This window comes from Homo sapiens, chromosome 21, assembly GCF_000001405.40.
Source record: "Homo sapiens chromosome 21, GRCh38.p14 Primary Assembly".
In the NCBI taxonomy this organism is placed as follows: domain Eukaryota; kingdom Metazoa; phylum Chordata; class Mammalia; order Primates; family Hominidae; genus Homo; species Homo sapiens.
In genome coordinates, this window is record NC_000021.9 from 40,408,213 (window position 1) to 40,432,668 (window position 24,456).

General features: G+C 39.4%; 1 protein-coding gene and 1 long non-coding RNA gene across 4 annotated transcripts in view, besides 1 other annotated feature; one reads left to right on the forward strand and one right to left on the reverse strand.

Moving 5' to 3' along the window:
* The window catches only part of DSCAM (DS cell adhesion molecule), an 836,160-nt gene that overhangs the window by 397,214 nt on the left and 414,490 nt on the right, over nucleotides 1-24,456 (reverse strand). The window lies entirely within an intron of this gene.
* LOC105369294 (uncharacterized) lies at nucleotides 7,390-13,002 on the forward strand. The gene is made up of 3 exons (XR_001755058.2): nucleotides 7,390-7,490; nucleotides 12,499-12,732; nucleotides 12,911-13,002. It is a non-coding gene; the product is annotated as an uncharacterized LOC105369294 (long non-coding RNA).
* Nucleotides 12,084-13,283: an enhancer, noted in NCBI's record as "CDK7 strongly-dependent group 2 enhancer chr21:41792223-41793422 (GRCh37/hg19 assembly coordinates)". NCBI's record gives its function as "activates an origin of replication core promoter dependent on BRD2, BRD4, P300/CBP, MED14 and CDK7 cofactors, with strong dependence on CDK7, by STARR-seq in HCT116 cells {active_cell/tissue: HCT116}" and the evidence as "EXISTENCE:reporter gene assay evidence [ECO:0000049][PMID:35650434]".

Below are 24,456 nucleotides of genomic sequence, written 5' to 3' on the forward strand. Positions count from 1 at the left end.
GGGTTAGCATTGACAATTTTCATTGATGACGTGGATGATGAGAAAGAAAGAATGGTTACTAAGTTGGAAGGTCTGTGATAGGGTGGGGGGACAGGACACTGAAAAGCTGGAATTTAAGGTAACTTATTAAAATAGATTATCATTAGAATGGGAAACCATACATTCTGGAAATGTTGAGCTTTAAGGGCTTGAAAGGCTATTGACAAACAATGTGAAGGGACATGCTGGTTATGAGACATTTGCTGGAAATTGCCCTACGAGATCATCTGGGCATCACATTCAGTTTGGGGAACACATTTAGTGAGGAGCATTGACAACCTGAAAATTGAATATCTTTTATTTCTGACACAGCAACAGACATTCATCAGTCGTAAGTTGGCATTGGTTCTTGTAGGTTTCTTCTATCCTAAGATTTAGTTACATCATTTATGGATATTCAGTAGGCTTTGTTTTTGTCTGTTGATGTGCCCTCCATTTTCCTTCCCCGAGCCCACTCATTCCTACAGGAGGGATGATGCAGTACCCCTGTCTGACACACAGCTGGAGTGACGTGTTCACTCACATGTGCAGTGCAGTCACTGTGTGCCCCATGATGCCAGTCATAATTTTAAATGACATAACTAGAGTTCGTAGGCTAGTGTGATTCCGATAAATGAGACATTTATTCTCTAATAGGTAGCAATCTCCAAATAGTCCATTTTTAGTATGTTATGAATGGAACTAGAATATTATCATCTGACCTATCCAGGTGTTTAGGTAATGTGTGGTTATCTTTTTCTCTGAGAAATCACTAAATATTTATTTGGATAACAATTATAGTTCAATATTAATGCTTACAAAGAAAGAAAACCATTAAGCCTAAAGAATAATTTAAATACCTAAGGGTGTATTTTCAAAACTGCTCCCAAATACATAGTCATAAAAACTGTACAGTAAATACTGGCAATACCTTTAGCTTCTGAGTATTGAGAGCTATGGCATTAAAAAGTTCCATTAGAATGTAATTTGTATTTTTAAATGTTACATTACACTATAATCACTTCCACATTCAGCCTTGATTAAGAAAGTCCCTATTTTCCCTTTTATCTTATGCAACTTGAGTCATGGTCAAAATATATGAAATAGTGATTTATAAATTTGGAAAACATGCAGGGAAGCCTGAAATAAGGAAAGCGAACAAAGTGAAATCTCTGCTTTTCCAGAGATGACCCAACCAGCCTGATGGTCTCTTCTCTGAGTTGAGAGCACAGTTTCAACGCTGAAGAGGCCACAGAGCTAGAATGTAGGAAAAAGTACTAGAGGAATCCTAGTGAGAGGTGGACAGATCCTGAGTTTTACAGAGGGCCCACCCCTGTCTTTTATTGAGTTATTCTGATAATGCATGTGGGAAGATTAGCCAAGGCTACGGCAAGAACAAGAATCACTGGAGCTCATACAGAGGTGGGAATAGTTTGTATCCCTGCAAGTCAGTGAAAGTATGTCTGAATATTTGAGAAATCAAGTAGAAACCACAGAATTGTATTAATATTACCTTAGTAAGGGAGCCAATCAGTTCTAGACTGGAACCATGCAAACAAGAACTGTGCAAACAAGGCTTAAAGCAAGGCTTGATGGAATCATATTGAGGCCAAGTAACTCAACTGCATCCCAGTAAACTGTCCAACAATATTGAAAGAAAACTAAAAAATCCAGCACCCAAAACATAAAATTCAAAATGGCTGACATCCACTAAACAATTACAAAACATGTCTAAAGCAGAAATATGTATATATTATATAAAGCAAAATTATATATATGGAGAAAAATAAATCCATTTTAACAGTCCAAAAAATAAAGAAATGAAACAGATGATAAAATTAACAGGCAAGGAAATTAAAACACGGATCATAAATATGTGCCATTTTCAAGAAGGCAGAAAAAGGATAGTATAAATGGAAATAGAATATAAAAATTAAACCCAAGTAAGACTTTAGAAGATAAGAAATTTAATATCTGAAATGAAAAATTATCATTGGTTGGGATTAATAGGAAGTTGGGCAATGCAGAAGAAATCATCTGTGAACTCATAAACAACAATAGAAACTACACAAAATGAAATACGGATAGAAAAAGAACCAGATAAAAATGAACAAAGCATCAATGACTTGAAGTGTAATATCAAGCAGTATAGAATATGTGCAATTAGAGACTTAGGGGAGGCAGAGTTAGGACTCCTATCAGAGGAAAGAAGAGATAGAACAGAAAAAATATTTGAAGGGAGTATTGAAATAAATAGTTCCAAAGTTGATGAAACTATAAAGCCACAGATGCAATAAGTACCGTTAATATTAAGCCAAGGACATATGAAGAAAACAACACCGAGATGCATCATTATCAAACTGCTGAAAGCCAGTCATGAAGAAAAAAATATCTAAAGGGGCCAGGGTTAAATTACGAACAAATGAAGACAAGAAAGACAAGATTTTGCCATGCAAACCAGAGACAATGGGGTGACACTTGTAAAGTTTTCAAAGAAAAACTGTTGATATAGAATTCTCTATACAGTACAAAAAAAAAAAATTCAAAAAAGTAAGTAAAGTTGAGTCTTGCTAAAACTAACCAAAGTAGAAAGAAGTCATTGCCCACAGACCTGCACTAAACTGCTCACAGGAGCCTTTCTGGCAGAAAGAAAAGAACATCAGAAAAAATTCAACCGATGTAAACAAGTGAGGAGCATGAGAGTCAGAAAATATGTGGTTAAATGTAACACCTTTTATTATCAGTTTTAAAATATCTTTAAAAGATAATTAACCATTTAAAAGATAATTAACCATATTTTGTGAAGTTTACATCATATGTAGAAATAAAATACACACAAAAATAGTAGCAAGTCTAGCAGGGGAGTATTGGAAATACACTGTAATAAGATTCAACAATATATGTGACCAGACTCAATATTACTTGAAGATAGACAGTAATTATATACACACACACACACACACACACACACACACACACACACACACACACACTGAATTGTAGGGGAAAACAAACAAGCAAACAATAACAACAAAAGAGGGGCAGAATAAGCCACGAATGGAGACAAAATAATGTTTTATACAATTAATACAATGAAATATGGACTTAATCCAAAAGAAGGCAAGAAAGGGGGAAAGATAGAACAAAGGATAGATAGGATAAGCAGAAAACAAATAGCAAGACTGAAACCCAACATTGTCAATAATCACACTGAATTTTGATACTGCAAGTATTTCAACTAAAAAGCAAATATTATCAGATTGTATAAAATGCAAGACCTAATCATATGCTGTGTAAAAGAAACATACTTTAAGTTAAGTCATAGAAAGGTTAAAGCAAAAAGATATAAAAAATAAGGCAAACAAAAAATCTCACATAAACACTACTCAACATAAGTTATAATAGCTAAAACCATTGATGTGAAATAGATATCAAAGTGATAAACAGAAAGACTGAAGAAGTGAAAATGAGAGAAGACACACATTACCAATATAAGTAATGAAATACGAGATGCCACTGAAGATCTTCCAGATATTAGAATAATAAGAGAATAATATGGGCAATTCTACACATACAAATTAAACACCTTAGACTAGTTTCTCATAAAACCACAAACTACCAATACTCACTAATATGGTTTGGCTCTGTGTCCCCACCCAAATCTCATCTTGTAGCTCCCATAATTCCCATGTGTTGTGGGAAGGACCTGGTGGGAGTTGTTTGGGTTATGGAGTTGGGTCTTTCGCTTTCCTGTTCTTGTGGTAGTGAATAAGTCTCACAAGATCTGATGGTTTGATAAGGGGAAACCCGTTTCATTTGGCATTCATTCTCTCTTTGCCTGCTGCCATCCATCTAAGATGTGACTTGCTCTTCCTTGCCTCTGCCATGATTTTGAGGCTCCCCCAGCCATGTGGAACTGTAGGTCCAGTTAAACCTCTTGCTTTTGTAAATTGCCCAGTCTTGGGTATGTCTTTATCAGCGGCATGAAAATGGACGAATACCGTAAATTGGTACAGTCCAGTGGGGTGCTGATGAAAAGATACCTGAAAATGTGGAAGTGACTTTGCAACTGGGTAACAAGAAGAGGCTGGGAACAGTTTGGAGGGCTCAGAAGAAGACAGGAAAATATGGGAAAGTTTGGAACTCCCTAGAGCCTAGTTGAATGGCTTTAACAAAAATGCTGATAATTATATGGACAATGAAACCCAGGCTGAGGTGGTCTCAGATGGAGATGAGGAACTTGTTGGGAACTGGAGCAAAGGTGACTCTTGTTATGTTTTAACAAAGAGACTGATGGCATTTTGCCCCTGCCCTAGAGATCTGTGGAACTTTGAACTTGACAGATATGATTTAGGGTATCTGGTGGAAGGAATTTCTAAGCAGCAAAGCATTCAAGATGTGACTAGGGTGCTGTTAAAGGCATTCAGTTTTAAAAGGGGAACAGAGCATTAAGGTTGGGAAAATTTGTAACATCACCATGCGATGGAAAAGAAAATATATTCTGAGGAAAAATCCAGTTTGCTGCAGAAATTTGAATAAGTAACTAGGAGCCAAATGTTAATCCCCAAGACAATGGGGAAAATGTCTCCAGGGCATGTCAGAGACCTCTGTAGCCCCTCCCATCACAGACCTGAAGGAAAAAGTGGTTTCATGGGCCAAGCCCAAGGTCTCTGTGTGCAGCCTAGGGCCTTGGGGCCCTGCATCTCAGCTGCTCCAGCTGTGGCTGAAAGGGACCAACATAGAGCTCAGGCTGTGGCTTCAGAGGGTACAAGCCTCAAGTCTTGGCAGCTTCCACATGGTGTTGACCCTGCGAGTGCACAGAAGTCAAGAATTGAGATTTGGGAACCTCCACCTAGATTTTAAAACATGTATGGAAATGCCTGGATGCCCAGGCAGAAGTTTGCTGCAGGGGCAGGGCCCTCATGGAGAACCTCTGCTACGGCAGTGCAGAAGGGAAATGTGGGGTCAGAGTCCCCACACAGAGTACCTACTGGGGCACCACCTAGTAGAGCCAAAAGAAGGGGGCCACTGTCCTCCAGACCCCAGAAAGGTAGATCCACTGACAACTTGCATCATGCATCTGGAAAAGCTGCAGACACTCAACACCAGCCCATGAATGGAGCCAGGAGGGAGGCTATACCCTGCAAAGCCACAGAGGCAGAGCTGCCCAGACCATGGGAACCCACCTCTTGCATCAGCATGACCCAGATGCAAGACATGGAGTCAAAGGAGATCATTTTGGAGCTTTAAGATTTGACTGCCCTACTGGATTTGGGACTTACATGGGGCCTGTAGCCCCTTTGTTTTTGCCAATTTCTCCTATTTCTCTTGATTCAATGCAATCCCAATCATCATCCCAGCAGGATATTGACAAACTAATTATAAAGTCTGCAAGGAAATTCCAAAGATACAGGATGACTGAAACAACTTTGAATAAGAACAAAGTGAAAGGATTTAGACTACTTGGTTTTAAGACTCATTATAGAGTTACCTAATCAAGACAGTATATTATTCACACAAAGATAAACATAGGGACCTAAGGAGCTGATTAGATTCTGAAAACAGACCCACACAGATAGAGTTAATTGGTTTTCAACAAATGTGCACAGGTAATTCAATGGAGAAAGAAAAAATTCAAAAAGTAGTGCTGGAATATGTGAACATACATAGGGGAAAAAAAACTAAGAAATCTGTATGGCCAAAATGGACCTCAATTATTGCTTCAAACCATATACAGAACTTAACTTGAAGTAGCTCATAGACCTAAATGTAAGAGCTGAAACTGTAATATTTCTGGAAGAAAACATTTAAGAAAACGGAAGTGACCTTAGGCTAAGCAAAGATGTTTTATATGGGACAAAAATAATTTGAGCTATAAAAGAAAAAATATTTATAAAACAAGTTACATCACAGCTGAAAACCATTGCTCTTCCAAAAATACGTTTAAGAAAATAAAAAGTCCAACTGCAGATTAAGAGAAAATATTTACAAAACATATATATGATAAGGGACCGGTATCTAGCACATATAAGAGTTCTTAGAACTCGACTATAAGAAAACAAAAGTCTTCTTTGCCATTTACAATGTGCAAAATATTTGAACAGATACTTAGTGAAAGGAGATATATGAACAGTCAATTAGCATATTTTAAATGTTTAATATCATTTTCAGGGAAATGTAAAGTAAAACCACAATGAGATACCAACGCATACCTCCTAGAATAGCTAAAATTAAAACGTACTGTGAAGAACTGAGACAACTAAACTTTTCAACTATTACTTGTGGGAATGCAAAATATTAATGAATAATTTACACTTTTTCCATGAGGTACATTTTGATATTGCTTAGTCCCTATTTTTCTCTTTCTTTTTCTTTAATGTTGGCCTTACAATATTAAATGTATTTCAGATCCTAACAATGAGTGCAACCTGCAGTGTGAAATACATTGATCCAGTTAGCTATATAGGTATGTCTCAAAAATCACAGATTATTATTATCAAAGTGCAGAGAATATCTCGAGTGAGTCATTACCTGCCGACATGAACCTGCCTAAGGCAACAAAGTGTTCTGATAAAGCACAAGGTAAGTCATCAGGTCTAAAAGCTAAAAAGATAATTTATCAAGACATGGGACAAAGGAAGGAAGAGCTATTTATTCATCTCAGCTTTATTCAGCATATAGATATTCACAAGTAACCAAGAGACAATTTTCTTACCCTCAATAAAATATATCCAAAGTTACATATAGCAGGATTTATAATATATGCCTACAACATTTTCCAGGATCAAAGCTACAGAAAGAAGGTGTGATTCCATGGAAACAAAGGAAGAAAAAGCCTGAGAAAAAAAGACCTGGAATTTGATTTGGACGTTTTTCACATGTTAGGTACTCAATAGAATGTATTTCTTGATATCAAATTAAAGATTATCATCAAACGAGCCTGATTTTTTCTAACAAAGCTCTGTATTTATATTTAAATGTAGGATACATGATTTTATATAGTTATAAAAAAAGAAAAGACAGATGGAATTTAACTGGCTCAATTTCTAGGACAAAATAGCAGTGCAACATGGCGGAATATAAAAGGGCACTGTCATCTACAGTCTCTTTAACAGAGCGTGCCAAAAGTTGGTGGCACCACTGTTAGACTGTTCAAACAACAAACAGAGCTAATATACTGAGTTATAGATGTATTTCAAAGAGAAATGAATATGAGGTAGACAAACTAATGAATGACCCAGGTCTGGATGGTCACTGTGCAAGATGCTGAGGAGTGAGACCAAATGTTTTCAAGGAGCACAGTTGCTTAGGAGACATTGTGATAATACTGGAAGAGAAATCTAGAATCCTGAAAGGACAAAAGAACTGGCCTAGGCCTGGACAGGGAAGTTGCCCTGGCCCTGGAGAAATCTGATCTGCAGAACTGCACAAATGCCTCTATCCCTCTAAGGGAGATCTCACACCCTGGCAAGGTAATTGCTGTGAGGCACCATTTGCACAGGCTCCCCAGGGGGCCGGTGGGACCCTCTTCGAGGGTCTTCTCATCCTTATACACTGCTTCCCCTCTCTAAACTCTCCCAACCCCTGCCGCAATCCCTATACACACCTTCCCCCAACTCTCAGGACGGCACCATCATGTCATGCATCGCTGTCATCATTATCCATTTTTATTAATGACACATAGGTTTTATAGCTCAGATTTTCTATTTTTAGGCAGAAAAAAAGGTTGGGAACTACAGGCACACAGGATTACTTCAAACTTCCAAAATAGGCAAAAGAGGTTATTTGCAATCTAGACTTCATCAGTTTTTCTGTGCAAATATATTTTTTTCAATAAAATGACCTGCACACTTGGACATGATGTGAAAAGTCCTGCCTTGGCTGGACATGAGGGGATCCCCTTTTTCTGGATTGGACACATTTGATTTAACGCTCTGCTTCATACCTGTCCTTCAAGGCTCTGCTCCTGCCCACTCCTCTATTTCTTTGTGGCATTTTTCTGACAGCCCATCCTGCATTGGTTTCTCCCCTTTCTGAACTCCGTTACCCTTATTTGTACTGATCGCTTGACCCACTGTGCTCACACACAGATTATGTCTTCATCTGTCTGCGTGTTTTATCAATAAAGGAAGGAAAAGCCTCGTAATTATTTGTAGAAATACCCTTGGTTGCACTCTGTGCCTGGTAAGTTTTTGGTGCTTAATGGATGCTTGTTGAAGTTATCTAATAAAGAAAATGGACATTCCTCTTGCCATCTCTTGTGTAAATGTTGTCATTTTGCCAAAATAAGCAGACAAAGAGTTTGGAGACAAGAATAGTCACTGTATTTCAAGACAAAGCAAGAGCAAAATGAAAAATGACAGGTTTGTAGTTTCAGCAATTTGGGGAAAAAAGTGAGCTATTTGCAAAAAAAAATTGTAGGGATTGATATAAACTTCAATTGAGTTGATAGAATTATTAAACTAAAAGAAAATAAGGATCCTATAATAAAAACTTTAATAAAATTTCATGAATGATATGTCTAGGAGAGGTATTATACTACTCTCTAGTGGTTGGATTATAGAGCAAGATGATTTCAGAATTAATTTAGGATTTTTTTAGAAAGATAAAAACAGAAATGTAAATAAAATTTAAAATCTCATTCTTTCATGAACATTTCATGCCCCCCAAAAATGCTTTATAATTTCAAAATTCAAGAACATCTCATGTAACTAGCTATCATTACAGGTGAAAATCAAGGGACTCTGGAACGTGCAATGCTCCTTCAAATTTTGTCATCTGAAAAGGTGACATTGGTCTGATTTGGTTGAGGCATCTGACTATATCTGTAACTCTGACGTCCATATTTGCATTTCCAATATGACAACTCCCAACTGAATAGGAAATTTCCTAAAATTTTCCTTTAATAGCATTGTAAAGTTGTTAAGGTTGCGTGAACATCTATTTTTATCTCATTTATTTTCATTTTTTATTGCCAATATATAATATTTCATACAGATTTAATTTTATTATTATTATACTTAAAGTTTTAGGGTACATGTGCACAATGTGCAGGTTTGTTACATATGTATACATGTGCCATGTTGGTGTGCTGCACCCATTAACTCGTCATTTACAGATTTAATTCTTTTTGAGCAGAAACCATTTTTCAAGACAATAAAGGTGAAGAAATAAGGTAATCTTTAAATAATCATTATAAAGATCTTGCAAATTGATGGTAAATTTCTGAGTACAATAGAAAATACATTAGAATCAATTTCAGAAACATGAACACAAGTTAATTGTTGTGTCTAATGTGTAATATTGCATTTGATATTTGATGAAGAAAAATAGATATACAGAGCCATGTATATGTCCATATTAGACAGTAAATAACTCATATTTTATCTTATTGCTATAGTATGGAATTTAGCTATAATAACCACCCAGATATTTCCGGTCTGGTTCTAGATATATAAAGCAATTTAATTCAGTTTAACTTAGCAAATTATAATCGTTGTGCTTAGTTAATATTAATCACAAGAAAAATTAAAAAATCCCTTTCACATAAGTACATCACTTGACATAATAGACATGAAGAAAGGATCACAATAACAAAATACAAAAAAAAAGTTGTTTATACAAATTATCTCATTTATTTCTAAGAAAAATGCCTGTCCACTATCATGATCCTCATGTATAAACGGGGAAGGTGAGGCTCCAAATTATGAAGCCCCTTGCCCTCAGTAACTTTAAGGCAGCCTCAAACCTAGACCTAGTGCGTGGATACACCTGCCCTTTCTTCTATGCAAAAGTTCCTCAACAAAAGGCAGATTGGAGAACTTCCTTGGAAGTAACCATTGAAGTACGATAGGGGATTAGAGGGGTGTAAAGAACCTTCATGAACATGAAGCCAGAGTATCAGTTGTGTTCGGCAGGAGATTTCAATGCCATCCATTGAAAGCATTGAGATTCAGTGTTATCCATTGTGTTTGGCAGGAGATTTCAATGCTCAGATTCTGGAAAACTGTCTGGGTGGGAAGACAGGAAAGTAAGGCTGGCCAGAGGAAAGGATTCAGTGAACGTCCTCTAAACTTTGACATGGTATCTGAGCAAAAAATCTTCTAAGAGTTTAAGTTTTGACCAACCAATAAGTTTTAATTGAAATTCAAGTTAAAGATGTGGATGCTGAAAAAAACTATGATATCTGTAAATCCAATTCATATAGTTCTGCAGCTGGGAACGGGAGAATTTTGTAATATTCCAAGGAGGGTGTTTAGGTTATGTGAGGTGAAGATTATGGCCACAAGAACATGGGTTTTACTGGCAATCAAAGCAAGCCTTCTTTTGCTCAGGATTGCCGGTACTGAAGGGCAAAAGTAAGATTGTTTAGCAAACAGTAAAAATTAGTGTTTTAGAAAACATCTAATTAATTATCACAACATAAACCAAAAAGGAATTTTGTATGTGAAACTAGAACAATCTGCTAAAATGAGGGGATAGGCTAGGATGTGAATAAACTGGATAGATATGAAAAAACATGATAAATGAATTAAGGACTGAAAACAGTAGAATAATGCATAAAATTGAATTAGTGGGGTAAAATACAAATACAAACTATAAATGTTTCACAAAAATTTAGAGAAAAAAAACCCCTGATAGAACAATTTAAAAACCTATGAACTGGACATGAATATTCAACCTATTTTTTTCCAAAAATTCCAGGAATTCAGGACACAGAAAAGGAAATAATTAAAGAAAAAAATATATATCTATTTTGAGATGGAGTCTCGCTTTGTCACCCAGGCTGGAGTGCAGTGGTGCGATCTCGGCCCACTGCAAACTCTGCCTCCCGGGTTCACGCCATTCTCCTGCTTCAGCCTCCAGAGTAGCTGGGACTACAGGTGCCCGCCACCATACCCGGCTAGCTTTTTTTTTTTTTTTTGTAGTTTTAGTAGAGATGGGGTTTCACTGTGTTAGCCAGGATGGTCTCCATCTCCTGACCTCATAATCCGCCTGCCTCAGCCTCCCAAAGTGCTGGGATTACAGGCGTGAGCCACCACACCCAGCCCAGAAAATATTTTTTAAATGTATTCAAGAGTTCATAAAATCCTGTGTTTTCAGATAGAAAAATTCATGAAGTATCCGAAATATTATTTAAAAGAGAAATAATTCTGAAACATATATCAAAGAATTTTGAAATATAGGGGTAAAGAAAGTTTTCTAACTGTGCAGGCTGGTAAAACAGGTAATTTATACATGAAAACACTGGGTTTCATCATCCAAGGTCAATGGAACAGAATATGCACCTCTCTGAGCAAACTTCTATACCCAGCCATCTTATCTTTCATATATGAGGGCAAAGAAAGAGATTCACCCAGATTCAAGGTCTCACCAGCTATACCACTCACATATAATTTCTGGGAAAAATTACTCAGATACATCTTCTAGCCTATCAAAAGAACTCAAGAATGTATTGCATAACTTAATCTCAGCTAAACATAAATTATGTCAAAAGATATGATATGGTCATGAAACCTAAAATCAATTCTATCATTGTCAGCATCATCATCACCATGTATAAAGTCTCACATTATTGTTATTGGAACAAGGAACTGACTAGAAAGAATAAAAAATTAAAATTATATAAAATTACCCACTTTATACCCAAGAAACCCATAGATACTTTTTTATTCTTGGCTTTTACACCTATAAAAAAGTTTGGATAAGTATATATAAAATTTAAGAGTAATCATTAGAACAAATACTGAAGGAATGCTTTTGAGTCATTAGAGAAAAAGTGGTTATGAAAATGACATATTAAGGGACTGATAATATAATAAAACAAAAAAATTAGGCACAAAGCAAAATACAGTAACAGGATACCAATTGTGATAGCTTTGTAGCTCAAGAAAACTCATATTTTCAAGAATATTGAATAATTTGATGAGATAATCACAATGTAACACTGGTAAAATAAGCCCGGTGAGAAATTATATATAAACAATGCCAATTTTCATTTTTAAAGTAAGTCTATAGATATATGTGAAAGACTAAAAGGAAACAGTTTGACATGAATCTGCGCTTGAGTGTATGACTCAAGATCTATGACTTGGGTTCTGGATTTCGTTTATCTTTTCTTTATCCGTATCAAAAGCCTCTACATTTGCTAAAATCAGAATGCCTGGTATTTATAATTCAGAAAATCAGCTTTTGTTTTCAAAAGGTGGAAGCCACTGAAATCCTGAGGAAAACTGAGGGAATCAAGTCAAACTTTATGGAGCAAGCAGGAAGGTCAGGATTCAGGAGAGTTGGTTTGAACCAAGTATCTATGGTGTTATGGGTTGAATTCTGTTTCCCCAAAATTTGTATGTTCATGTCCTACCACCAGTATCTCAGAATGTGAACTTATTTGAGAATACTGTCCTTGCAGATGAAATTAGCTGAATGAGGTCATTAGAGTGAGCACTAATCCAATATGCCTGGTATCTTTATACAAAGGGGGAATTTGGACACAAACGGACATACAAGAATGCCATGTGACCCTGAAGGCAGATATCAGATGATGTTTCTACAAGCCAACAAAATGCCAAAGATTACCAGCAAACGACCAGAAGCTACGATCAAGGAATGGAACAGATTCTCTCTCAGAGTCCTCAGAAGGAAGAACCCTGCTGATACCTTGATCTCAGACTTCCAGCCTCCAAAACTGGGAGATGATGCATTTCTTTCGCTGTAAGCCACTCACTGTGTGTGCTTTGTGATGGCAGACCCAGCATACTAAACTAATATTAAACTAATATAGAAGCTTAATAAGGAGAGTGCCTGGGAGCAACAGCCTCAGGCATAGTCTTAAAAGTGTCACCTTCTCACCTATATTTACCATAATATGTTAACCTGACAATTGTTTCAGCCATGAAGAAAGACAGAGGAATTGATGTGTGTTCAAGACTTGAGAGCCATGGAGAGGAGCTGGTATCACCACTGCCTGCAGCTCAGGCCCATCACTGCATCCTTCACTCCACCATTCCTCACCTGGATTCACCTCACCCCTGACGTTAGAACCTGAACACGCCTCCGAAACTGGTGAGACAGAGGAGAGAAACTAAGCATACAGTACCTGTCCTGTCTTGTCAAAGGGAAGCCTGACCTTCGGTAAGCATAGTCATAGGCAAGGGGAACCCAGCCTGCTCAGAAAGTGCTGCATGAGTTCATTCTGCAAACTTCAGGGCACTTCTTAGCATGCTCCTTTTTGAAGAATTACATTTGTGCTTGTGGGATTGGTGTGGGACACTAGGCTAGAAAAATTTGGATATCAAATACATGTGCTCTCATAGGAGCTGCCAGCGCTGTGTGTTTTGAGGTGTATGTTGAAAAATAACCCTGTCCCAGAGCCTTTCTTTTACTGCCTCTCACAGTCTTTGAATTTCCGCCATCAAGGGGCATATCTTTGGCTCTCAGGAGAGATAAACAACAGTATTATCAATCACCATTTTAGCAGAATTAACACCTGAGAGGCGGAAACCAAAATGGACAAAGGAAACAAAAAGTACTTGGATTTTAAGACAAATATCTCCATGACTTTCTCTCTGACAGTGTTGAAACAAATAGCTCCTTGGGAGAGGACATTTCTTTTCCCAGGTGCCCTGCAGGGGAGGGTGCTTAGAAGAGGTCTACAGAGCCAACCTTGAGAAATGTCCTATAGGGCTGTGGTTTCCCTGCCTAAGACAAACTGAGAATGAGGAGGCTCTGAGCATGTAATGCATATGGAGGAGACAGAAAAGGCTCTTTTAAACTGAATGCCTCATTGACACAACTGCTATCTTTCTATAAACTTAGACAAGGGATGGCAATTATGAGCATATCCACTGATGCATGTCCTGCTCATGCCCATGGCAGACATTGCTAATCAATTACTACACTCTTTTCTAGTGAGCACAGATAAGACTTCAGAATCCTTCTCAGTTCTGCATTCCAGGCAGTCACTACCAGTCAGATGGAACTGACATTCAAAATGTAATTTATTTCCAGTCTTGGCCTTCGAGGGCATATACCCTAAAAGTCTAAAAGGTTCGTTGACATATTTGGATATTTTAATTTTATGTGCCTGGATAGAAAGCTTTGTTTTAAAAGTTGGTGGCCGAGCACAGTGGCTCACTCCTATAACCCCAGCACTGTGGGAGGCGGAGGTGAGCAGATCACTTGAGGTCAGGAGTTTGAGACCAAATTGGCCAACATAGTGAAACTCCATCTCTACTAAAAAAAAATATATATATACAAAAATTAGCCGGTCATGGTGGTGCATGCCTATAATTCCAGCTACTCAGGAGGCTGAGGCAGGAGAATTGCTTGAATTCAGGAGGCGGAGGTTGCAGTGAGCCAAGATCGCGCCACTGCCCTCCAGCCTGGGTGATAGAGTGAGACTCCGTCTCAATAACAACAACAAAAAAGTTGACATGTAAAGTCTATTTTTTAAAAAATGTATATGTTGTTTTTCTGGATTTTCAATAACAACTTGCAAAAACCACATTTTTAAACTTCCTCCATATGAGGCAGCCACAAAACCAAAATCTCTTTGCTGCAGGTTTTTCCAAGAAGTAAAGGTCTTGCAGAAAATCATACATTCAAATATTCCATCAATGTAATAGGTAATCAACCTCAATAAAATGTTCGTCTATCCACATAGAATACTATTGCCTAATAAGGTCTTTTACTAAGTAATTATAACGACACAATTTTATCAGTAAAGGTTAAGTATCTTTATCTGAGCAGAATCCAATGAAATTAGTCCTGATGTAATAAGTACCATTTGTCACTATTAGAGCTAGAGGGGTTGACAGGCTTGGATGTCTCCCTGGCAACCCGAGTGTTCCATTTCTTTTTTCTGTAACCTTAGACACTAACAAGGCATAAAAGTCCAGAGGGCATAGAAGGTATCGCCTGGGTAATTTATGTACCCTCTTCTGACTTTGCCAGGCAGTGGCATATGCGAGCATCTAGAAGCATTTTAACAGCAAATATATTCATTCCCAAAATTTTGAGTCACGATGAATATTTTGAACAGAAGTATTGTATTAATGTAGGTAGGTTTTCATTAACAAGGACAGTTACTAATTTTTAACTGACTCATTATCCACAACGAGAGAGAGAGAGATTGAGAACATGTATGTAAACGGTGTTACAACTTCCTAAACACACTGCGCATGCTCACCTCCCAAGGGGAAGGAGGGCACTGCGCATGCGGGAAGCTCGTCCTAAGCGAAGAGTCATGGGAAAGGGGTGCAAGACACCTGAAGTGGGCCAGCCTACAAAGTCCTAGGATCAAGGTTAAAGATTGCACTTGTCCTTCAAGTTGCCTGCTTCAGTCTCTTCCAAGTGTACTTCCCTTTCTTTCCTGTTCTAAAGCTGTCTAAAATAAACTTCCACTCCTGCTCTGAAACTTGCCTCAGTCTCTTTTTGTGCCTTATACCCCTTGGTCGAATTCTTTCCTCTGAGGAGGCAAGAATTGGTGTTGCTATAGAGCCATATGGATTCGCTGCCGGTAACTCAGATACCATCCACCAGTAACACATGTGGGCCATGATCAGTGATGTAACAAAATTAATTATGAATGGCATTTCATAGATGTTCCTGCTATCAGTCTTAATGGGCAGAAATCCAAGAGCGGAGGCTGTGAGGGGTGTGGGGAAGAGGGAGATGCTGGATAAACATTTAGAGAAATATTACAAACAAAATTTTATATTTCCTCACTTTCCTATTATCCTTTCTCTTTTTATATATAGCTAATATCGGTTTTCCACTTTAATAAATAAGCTAATATAAAAATATGATTTCTAAAAACAGGAAGGTAAAATTTGAATTGTCCTATTTTTAAATTTTGCAAACATCAATACCAAGATTTGGAACACTGTTAATTTGCAGATAGCCTAGCAGCATGACGTACCTTTTAAAACAGATTTCTTTTATTTTCTAATTTAGAAGTCATGGGATAAATTGCGTCCCCCCAAAATTCATGGCAGACCCCTAACCTGCAGTATCTCAAAACATGGCTTTACTTGGAAATAAGGTCTTTATAGTGATAATCAAATTTAAATGAGGCCATTAGGATGGGTGCCAGTTCAATATAAGTGGTGTCCTTATAGAATGGAGAAATATGGAGACAGACACTGACACCCATAGAGGGAACATGAGGTAAAAACACTGGAAGAAGCCAGCCGTGTGACTGGCGTGATGTCTATAATACAAACCAACAAGAGCAAGGCTTGCCAGCCAGCGCCAGGTGCCGCAGGAGGTGAGCAAGGACCTCTCCAGAACTGTCAGGGAGAACATGGCCCTGCAGACACCTGAATTTTGGAGGTGTAAGCTCCAGAACTGTGAGAGAATCAGCTTCTATTGTGGTCATATGTTATGGAATCCCCAGGAAGCTCACACAATTTACTTCAGATTAAAGATAAAAAATCTATTTCCAGAATATAATCAAAGGTTCAACAACGATATGCCTGAGGACATGACATTCTGGGAATAGATTATATTCTGGAAATAGCTTTCTTATCTTTAATCTAAATAAGCTGTGTGAGTTTCCTGGGGGTTTCCACAAAAAATTATCACAACAGGCCAGTCGCACATGTAATCCCAGCACTTTGGGAGGACAAGGTGGGCAGATCACTTAAGTTCAGGAGTTTGAGACCAGCTTGGCCAACATGGTGAATCTCCTCATCTCTATTAAAAATACAAAAAAATTAGCTGGGCATGGGGATGGGTGCCTGTAATCCCAGCTATTCTGGAGGCTGAGGCACAAGGATTGCTTGAACCTGGGGGGTGGAGGTTGCAGAGAGCCAAGATTGCACCACTGCACTCTCTGTGACAAGAGTGAAACTCCATCTCAAAAAACAAACAAAAATTATCACAACAGAAGTTTAATCTCTTACAGTTATTGAGGCTACAACTCCAAAACAGAACCAAGGTTTGGGTTACATAAAGGAATGCTGGGATCAAAAAAGATAATGATGTAGCTGAGATTAAAATTCTCTTCCCGGCCAGGCATGGTGGCTCATGCCTGTAATCCCAGCACTTTGGGATGCCAAGGTGGGTGGATCACCTGAGGTCAGGAGTTCAAGACCAGCCTGGCCAACATGGTGAAACCCCGTCTCTACTAAAAATAACAAAAATTATGAGTGAGAACATGCGGTGTTTGGTTGACGAGTTAACGGGTGCAGCACACCAACCTGGCGCATGTATACATATGTAACAAACCTGCACGTTGTGTACATGTACCTTAGAACTTAAAGTATAATAATAAATAGATAAATAAGAATTTTTTTACCCCCCCCTAAAAAAAAAAACATACAAAAATTAGCTGGGCGTGGTGGCGGGTGCCTGTAATCCCAGTTGTTCAGGAGGCTGATACAGGAGAATCGCTTGAACTCCAGCCTGAGCAACAAAGAGCGAAACTCGGTGTCCAAAAAAAAAAAAAAAAAAAAACTCTTCCTTGTTCATTTCATAAACTTAAAAACAAAAATACAGCTTTTTTTCTGTTTTAGTATAATTCTAAAGAATATATTTACTTCCAATCTTATAGTTTCTAATCCACCTTCAGCATGTATATACACACACACATGCATGTGTATCCATAAACATATATAAACATACACATGTTAACTATATATGTTATATATGTGAACATGAATAAACTATGTATATATGGATATCTATCTATATATAATATCCTTTTGTAGGGGGCAGAATAAAGGACAATGAAGCTAAACTTTTCAGTAAATTTCACTTTGCTTGCTGGTCAATCAAGAGCTTCTCCAAATCTCATGTTTGATTGTTAAATTTGCACCTGTGAACACACATGGATTGGGGTCAGAGGGTGTGGCTGGCCCCATACTACTCCATTGGTAGCACTGGAAGAAAAGACCGACTCTGGACTGTATCCAGCAAAGCCAGGCACAATTGTCAGGGGCTTGTGCCCTGGGGCTAGCTAAGCAGGAGGCAGACTTCCTAAACTAGCCTGACTGCTGTCACAGTTAACAGAAGCTGCATAGATGGGTCTGCCTACAATGGTCACAAATGTTGTCACTTTACAAGATCCATGGACAGTTTGTTGGAAAACCTGTGCTGCTTCCTTTTCTCTCCATTTGTCCTTTCATTGGCCATTCAGTAATTTGGCGAGGTGGTCTATGGGCATTTTCACGAGTGGACGTTGCCTGCTGTGGGAACAGTTCACGGCATCTATGTGTCTATACTACTATGCATCTGTGACTACTTTCAGAAATAGGAAATTTGTCATCTCGTTATACATTCTAAATTGTTAAAGGTTCATAATGTAAATGGCAATATTAAAGTTGTCAAAGGCCACATTTCACTATTTATTTTGTTTTTAGATGTCAATGTCATAAAAGATAAGTGTTCTAGAGAGTACTATGACATGAGAGATGAAGAAAAGTACAAGATACTTTCCCAGAGGCATAACTCAAAGGGCTGGAGCCTAGGAAAGAGGCCCAGCAAGCTTTGTTGTGTGCTTCCTAGGAGCACCAGCTAGTGACCACAGCAAACATGACAATGGGAATGGTGTCATTTGGGCTGGGGGGTTGGAGCAGCACACACAGGACAATGTCCACAGTCATTCTCCTCAGTCAAGCCCAAACCGTCATCTTGGCTCACATTTGCTCTTTCTTCATTGGTACTTGGCTAACACTTTGAAAAAAAAATCTAGTGTGCAAGGGTACTATCCCTATTTGTGGGAATACTTATTACAGGGGGTATAATAAGCAGCTCCCTAGGTGTCAGCCCCGGGACCTGATGCTGTCAGCCGTCTGAGATACCAGAAGCTTGAGTGTTCTGATTCCAGGCTCACCAAGCAACCTTCTGGCCACAGCACTCTCTGCAATGAGCCTTGAAGACAGCGAGCAGGGCATACAGGAGAGGGGCCTAGGTGGCCCAGCTGACTGCTGCTCTGGTCATGGACCTGTCTGTCCCAGCTGACCAGACCACTGTCATTGGAATGGGGCTGTCTGTCCTAGCTGATCACTGTCCTGGGCATGAACCCGTGTGTCCCAGCTGATCACTGTCCTGGGCATGAACCCGTGTATCCCAGCTGACCATGGCCCTCGGCATGAACCCATGTGTCCCAGCTGACCATGGCCCTGGGCATGGGCCATTCATATACTGACAAACTCAATTGTTCAATAGGTTAATGGGAGCTTTGTTACCATGAACCAGAATTACCAAACCCCCTCCAATCTGGGTCAGTATCAGGATCGTTTTTCAGAGTCTAGAAGGCTAAGGTCAGACCTCAAGTAGAAGAGATTTGCCAAACACAATGCCCACCTGCAGTCAACATTCAGAATCCCTGGCCTTCCCTCTGTGAATGAAACCTCAGCTCCCTTATTGCTACCCACTTTGCAGCACTTTATGCAAAATCTCTACAGCACAGTAAACACAGGGAAAGAGTTAGGGAGAGGATAAGCTGCCCCATTGGCTTTGTCATTGGAAGAATGCTGCAGATTCTCATCCTGATGCATCAAACCAAACCAGACACAAGCTAGGGAGGCTATGCTCACGGCTGCCTGCCGCATGTGGCCTGGTGCTGCTATGTCTTCCTGTGAGCTTTGATTGAAGATGTCATCCAGTTGAGGTCAGTTAAGTATTGTGTTCTGGATGAATATCAGCACTGAGGCAGAAAGCCCCATTTTTTTAAAGGGAATTTCCCAAATGATACTGATTAATCAGCTGAATTTTGATCCTAAATTCTTCCAGACCTTGACCCATTATACTTTGTGCTACACTGTATCATCTTCGCTCTGGGAGAGCTCCATCTTTCTTGTCTGTCCTCACAGTCCAGGTCCAGTCTGATCTACTATGAAGGGGAATCTGCCTTTAAGTTTCTGAAATTTAGGCTTGGCATGTTCAACACCAAAGCTCATCTGTCTTAACCCTAATATTTTACCTGAGATTTACTTACTCTTCATTCTCCCAACAAAGGCGCTGGCCTCAACTGTGTGACCATGAGGGCAAATACTTTGTGTGTGTGTGTGTGTGTGTGTGTGTGTGTGTGTGTGTGTGTGTGTGTGTGTGTGATGGAGTTTTGCTCTTGGTGTCCAGGCTGGAGGGCAATGGTGCAATCTCGTCTCACTGCAACCTCTGCCTCCCGGGTCCAAGCAATTCTCCTGCCTCAGCCTCCAGAGTAACTGGGATTACAGGCATGCACCACCATGCCCAGCTAATGTTGTGTTTTCAGTAGAGATGGGGTTTCTCCATGTTGGTCAGGCTGGTCTCGAACTCCCAACCTCAGGTAATCCACCCGCCTCAGCCTCCAAAAGTGCTGGGATTACAGGTGTGAGCCACCACACACTGCTGCAAATACTATTTTATTATCAATTGTTGAACTGCAGTTATGAGTCTTTTATAGAGTCTAAGACAAGCAAAAACTAAACGAGAAGGCAGAACTATCTCCAAACAGGATATGCAAATTTACTAATTCCCTCTAGAGCAAATATCCATATTTAGTGTCGTGGGGCTGTGTGTTTCAGCTGGCCGCTGCCCTGGGCATAGGCATGTTGTGTCCCAGCTGACCACTGACATGATATCGTTCTACTTCCTTTATCATACAGCGACCTAATACACACACACACACACACACACACCATTTCATGTGACTCCTTTCATTTAGGAATATAAAATATAATGAAAGTTGCATTAGTGTATGAAAACTTTGCATTTTAGGTACTTTTTCAAGCATCACTGTAACCCCTTGCAGCATGGCACTTTTGACAGCCCCCACATGGCTACTGAGTACATACTGTATAGGAGGCTCTGAGCTTGCTAGGCAAGGGAGATGAACTGGCAACAAGACATAATCTTTGCTCTCCCATGGTGCTTAAAGTTGTATCCAAATTTTCAATGTTATTATATGGCACCAACAAAATATAATAATGTTTTTCATTGCAAACACAACTGCAGATTTCCAATTTTTTGCAAAATGTCTTTTGCAAAATATAATTTTAAATGTTACATTTATGGACTTTAGAGAGGCAGTATTGTATCAAGTTTTTTGTGCTTTTTTTTTTTTGGAGACAGAGTTTCACTCTTGTTGCCCAGGCTGGAGTACAGTGGCGTGATCTCGGCTCACTGCAACCTCTGTCTCCCGAGTTCAAGCAATTCTCCTGCCTCAGCCTCCCGAGTAGCTGGGGTTATAGGCATGCACCACCACGCCTGGCTAATTTTTTGTATTTTTAGTAGAGATGGAGTTTCTCCATGTTGGTCAGGCTGGTCTCAAACTCCTGACCTCAGGTGATCCACCTGCCTCAGCCTCCCAACGTGCTGGGATTACAGGCATGAGCCACCAAGCCCAGCCTGCATCAAGTTTTAAAGTGTGAACTGTGGACCCAGATAGCCTGGGCTCCCAGCTCAGGGCTGCCACTTGTAGTTTGGAAAGTTGTTAAACGCCCTTGTACTTCAGGTCCTTATAATGTCAGTAGAGAATTAAATGAGTTAATACAAACAAACAGCACCTGGCTTACTGCCTGGCACACAGTAAGTACTCATTAAGTGCTGGCTATTATTAAGTACTCCAGAATATGTTACTTATTTTACTTATTTGATAAACACTTTCTGGATTTTTTCTATGCTGGGCGCTATTCCAGATGGTGAGATGCAAAATATAATAAGACATGACCTCTTTCCTTAATGCAATTTTGGGTCATAGGAATTAAAGTTACTAATATCTCCTTAAAAATGACCAAGAAAAGAGCCTTCAGAGCAACTCTATTAAAAGTCATTAAGACCTTGTGTAAAATACAAATGAACAAAAAATAATTTTTCCTAATATCCAGTAATCTGAAGAGTACCCTCACACACATAGAGGGGGCTGGTCGCTGCTTGTCACCTCTTGCTAAAATCCAGCACTCTGCACATTGCATTTGATGGAGAATTAATCTTCATACCTTCACTCACAGCCTAGCTCAGTGCTATTTTAGGTACAGTTTTAGCAACACAATGTTTTCTACAAGTTGATGTAGAGACAGCTGTGATGGTTAATACTGAGTGTCAACTTGATTGGATTGAAGGATACAAAGTATTGATCCTGGGTGTGTCTGTGAGGGTGTTGACAAAGGAGATTAACATTTGAGGCAGTGGGCTGCGGAAGGCAGACCCACCCTTAATTTGTTGGGCACAATCTAATCAGCTGCCAGCAAATATTAAGCAGGCAGAAAAACATGAAAACAAGGACTGGCCTAGCCTCTCAGCTTACATCTTTCTCCCTGGCTGGATGCTTCCTGCTCTCGAACATTAGACTCCAAGCTCTTCAGTTTTGGGACTCGAACTGGCTCTCCTTGCTCCTCAGCTTGCAGACAGCCTCTTGTGAGATCCTATGATTGTGTAAGTTAATACGTAATAAACTCCCCTATATATATACACACATATCTATCCTATTAGTTCTGTCCTCTAGAGAACCCCAATTAATACAACAGTGAAGAGTGGTTTTCAGGGCCCTGGCTCTACCGCTGGACTCCTGTCTATCTTCCTCCTGTGTAGCTTTACTGCCGGCTTCGCCTCTTTGGGCCTCATTGTCACAATCTGTAAACAGAGGTTTTGGGAAAGTCAAATGAGATACCGTGTGCGACGCACTTGAGGCAGAACACACAGCACGTGCTTCACACATCTTTACCGGCATTCTTCTTCTCTAGCTGTACAACTAGAAGGTGGTAAGGGTGGAGGCAGCAGTGAGAGAGAAGCCGCTACTGAGACAGCTGGAGAGGGAGAAAAACAACTGCAAAATCTTACAAATGAAAACCAGCAATTCGAAAAGCAAAGCAGTCTGAGAATATGGAGCATCTCTATGTTATACAGAATCTCTGCGAAGATAAATAGAACAAAAATAGTTATCCTGCCACATCTTCATTATCTCTCATTTAAAAGGGCTGATGTTATGCAAAGATTTTCAGAAAAACTTCCATCTAAACTAATTGAAATCTCATGTAATGGGGTGTACAACTGGCCCCTGAACAACCCAAGTTTCTGCAGTTTCACTGATACACAAATTTTCTTCTGCCTCTGCCCCTCCTGAGATGAATCCTTCTCCCCCTTCCTCCTCCTCAGCCTATTCAATATGAAGACAATGAGGACAAAGACCTTTATGACACCTCAGCCTACTCAATGTGAAAACAAGGACAAAGACCTTTATGATGATCCACTTCCACCTAATGAACTACTCAATGTGAAGACGATGAGGACAAAGACCTTTATGACTCCTCAGCCTACTCAATGTGAAGACGATGAAGACGGAGACCTTTATGACTCCTCAGCCTACTCAATGTGAAGATGATGAAGACGAAGACCTTTATGATGATCCACTTCCACCTAATGAATAGTAAGCATATTTTTTTATTCCTTATGATTTTCTGAATAATGTGTTCATTTCTCAAGATTATTGTAAGAGGACAGTATCTAAAATATATAATGCAAAAAATATGTCAATCAACTGTTTATCAGTAAGGCTTCCAGTCAGCAGTAGGCTACTATATTGAAGTTTTGGGGAGTAAAATGTTATATGCAGATTTCTGGCTGCCTGAGCAGTCAGTACCCCAACTGCTGCATTTTTCTAGAGTCAACCGTACTAGTTTCTTGTGGCTATTGTAATGGATTGCCACCAACTTAGTGGCTTAAAGCAATAGAAACTGATTCTCTTATAAATGTATTCTTCTGGCCAGGTGTGGTGGCTTATGCCTGTAGTCCCAGCACTTTGGGAGGCCAAGGCGGGCAGGTCACCTGAGGTCAGGAGTTTGAGACTAGCCTGGCCAACATAGTGAAACCCCGGCTCTATTAAAAAATACAAAAAAATTCGCTAGGCATGGTGGTGGGTGCCTGTAATTTCAGCTACTTGGGAGGCTGAGGCAGGAGAATTGCTTGAACCCAGGAGGTTGCAGTGAGCCGAGATCGTGCCATTGCACTTCAGTCCGGGCAACAGCATGAGACTCTGCCTCAAAAATAATAATAAAAAATAAATATATAAATAAATAAATAAATATCTTCTTCTTCTGATAGTCAAAAGGCTAAAATCAAGGTGTTGGCAAGGCTGTTTTTTCCAGAGGCTTCAGTGGAGAATCTGTTCCTTGCCTCTTCCACCTTCCAGAGGCTGCGGTGTTTCTCAGCTCCTGGCCATCACTCAGATCTCCACTTCCTTCCTCACACCACCACCTCCCACTTCGGCCCTCCAGCCTCTGTCTTATGAGGACCCTTGGGGTTACCTTTAGATGCCACTCAAACACTCTAGGATATCCTCCCCACTTCCAAAGATCCTCAATTTAATCACATCTATAAAGTCCTTTTTCCCACGTAAAGTAACATTCACAGGTTCCTAGTGCTTCGGATTCAACATCTTTGGTGAATGGGGCATTATTCAGCCTATCATATAGGACACAGCTAATTATCTTGCCCTAAAATAGATGCCCCTTT